The sequence below is a fragment of the Homo sapiens genome, chromosome 4, assembly GCF_000001405.40.
Source record: "Homo sapiens chromosome 4, GRCh38.p14 Primary Assembly".
NCBI lineage: Eukaryota > Metazoa > Chordata > Mammalia > Primates > Hominidae > Homo > Homo sapiens.
The window spans coordinates 124,608,857-124,612,026 of NC_000004.12; positions in this window are offsets into that span (position 1 = coordinate 124,608,857).

The window sequence follows — 3,170 nt, forward strand, 5'->3', positions numbered from 1 at the left end:
CAGAATTTATATGAGCATGTAGTTGAAATGCTTACTAAATTTAGAGATGTATATAATAATGGCTGACAGTTTTATTGTTCCCTCTATGGTAGGTACTATATTTCAGTTGATCCCTACAAACATTCTGTAAGAGAAATGTTACTATTTTTTATTAAATATATGAAAACTGAAACTCAGCTAGGTTGACTGGGTTACCCAAGGTTATACAATCAGTAAGTGGTAGACCTCTACTTAATTAGACCCCATGGACCACGGATTTAACCAAGAGTCCAGAGTGCTTTTTATGGAAGGTAGTAGTTCTCCCTGAAAGTAGAGACTGTGAAAGAAAGCAGAAGCAAGTTTCAAAACGTGTTCCATAATCTGTAGAGCACTGTGTTAAAAAACTTGGGTTTAGCCCTGTCTCCACCAGTAACAAAGTATGATCTTAGATCACTTAGAGTTCCAGGTCTAATAAAGTAAGATGACAGCATTACATAATTTCAATTAGATACTCTCTAATATTCCCTGGATCAATAATTATTTGCAAATTATATTTTTTAAGTTATGTGTAATAAATGCTTAGGTGACTTACATTGATTTTAAAATCTATTTTTTACATAATCACAAATTTAATGAGTCAATTGTATAATCTGCTTGTTCAAAATTAGCAAACCTTTAGAATTCATCAGTATTTGGGGTGTGTCCAGAACACAGGAAGTGATAGCCCCACTGAGTTGTTAATGGCTCAGACAGCATTTGCAGTGTTCATTCAATTCTGGACCTAGACAAACAGGTGACATACAAATATGTTAAATTGGAATTTCAGGATTTAGATCAGGACATGGGATTCAGGTGGGACTGGTCAAGAACTGGAAAGGTGTCAGGTAAAGTGGAAACTGCAGATCAAAGAACAAATCCGTAAAAGGTTGTATCCAAGAAGACAAAGGCTTTACAAACCCAGAGTCAGCCTTCTCTGTCTCCCCACCAGAATTACACCTGGGGCAGGAAAGTGGGCACAAATACAAGACTCAATGATTCAAAATGAAAAGGAAGGAGGAAGTTAGGGAGAGAGGTAAGGAGAAGAGGAGAAAGAGAAATAAATGGGAAGCTAAACTGAACAATAAAGAGTAAATTGCCTGGGGAATAAATTAACTGTACGAAAAAGAAAAAAAGGTAATGGGTTTGGCAGATAGCTTGGAAACTATAGTACACTTTGGCTGTGGAAAGAATACTTGCAAGTGGAACACCTTGCCTGCAGAGTAATGCTGAGTGAAGGCAGATCTTCTGAAGGAGAAAAACATTTGTAAGTGTCAATACAGATTATTCTAAATCTGTCCATGACATATAGGTTATAGACATGTTTTGCTAATAGCTGGGAAAAAATAATTTTCTACGTGCAAGAGATAGAAAAAGATACAAGGCTGCACACTCTCATTTAAATATATTTCCAGGACTCCACTGGAATAAGAGATTTAAGATTTCCTGAATTTCTCTCCCTGCCTTTTGAGAAAACAATAGTGATACAAGTCATGCAAACTTCAGTGGTCAGACCGGTGGAACCACTTGGCATTTGTTAGCACTTGCAAAATAGTGGGTAGTGTCACAGCATAGTTACCCCAAAGTTGAGCCTAAATGATATGATGTTCTCTGGAAAGAATTCAGCAGGAACTCCAAAACAGTATTGTCCCTCCCTGTGTCAAAAACAAACCTTGCAAGGTCCTCTACCCCTCCACTGACTGTGTCTTCTCCAGCTCTCCAATCATATCACTCTTCTCTCTCCCACCTCTCTTTTCCTGCAAGCAAATCTGCTTAAATTCCCACACACTCAATCTTTTTTAAGACTTCTGTCTAGAAAGCTTTCTCTTGTCTTTTTCAACCCATTATCATTCCCCTGTTAAAGGTTCATTCAAGATGTATTTTCTCTAAAAGAGTTGTCTCACTGATTCCATAGGACCATGATCACTTGTGAAGTGTGCACTGCCGCAGTACACTGAATAAAGTTATATTGTCATTTTTATATATGCTGTAGTGTATTGTCCTTATCTCTATGTTATTTTCTCAGGCATTATTTCTAAAAGAGGAGTAACTATGATCTCTTCTTGATCACTTCTTTTCCTTTACTTATCTGAACACACACATACACACACATCTACTTTACTTAGGTTAGTAATTTTATTCAGGGAGGATAAATAAATAGGTACACTAGATTATCACTATTTCTCAAATTATCTTCCGTAACTTAGATTACATTCACCTCCATATAGAATTACTCTACCATCAGAAGACATGGAAGGATATTTTTCTGATGACACAGCTCCTCAGGAAAAAAAAATGTTTCATATTAGAAAAATAAGGGCTACTGCTTTGCTTTATTCTTAGGAAATTGGATTTCTTGTATAAAAGAGTAAGATCATACACCTCACATAGACAGCAAAAGAAGTATTTCTGTCTTCTCTCTGAAATTCCTGATGAGAACTCTCTCCAGTTGATCATGTCATCACAATCTATTAATGGATGAGAGATGCTAACCATTATAGGCACACAGTGTGATTAATATCACATAAAGTGGGTAAAGCAGGTAAGTTTCCTCTAAACTTACAGTCGAAAATGAAAAAAATAAAGATTCATCTAAGGAGCATGTCTAAGTCCTAGGCACTTTGAAATGGTTAGATTCTTCAATAGCTGTCAAAATCATTTTACCACCTTTCTTTTTGAAGTGATAAAACAGGGTCTAAACAAGCTAAGAAAAGGTCCCACATTCATACAGATGATAAGTATAGGGGTTCAGATTCAAACCTGATCTTTGAACTCCAAGCCCAATCTCTCCACAACACTCACAACTGCCTCAAAATAAAACAAATACATATATATTTAATTGGACTGCTTAGACAAAATATATGCTTTCGATTTTGTTGATTTAACAAAGATATGGTAAAATGATTAGATAAGAGTCCTATATAGGTAGGCTGACATTAAAAAAAAAAAGCCCAGAAACATAAAGGAAGCCAATATAAAATACTCAAAAGAATGTGGGTGAGAAAGACCCAAACATGAAAAAGAAATTTATTTATTTATTTTCTTTTATGAGTTTTTTTTTTAAGATTTTTTTTTTTATACTTTAAGTTTCAGGGTACATGTGCACAACGTGCACGTTTGTTACATATGTATACATGTGCCATGTTGATGTGCAG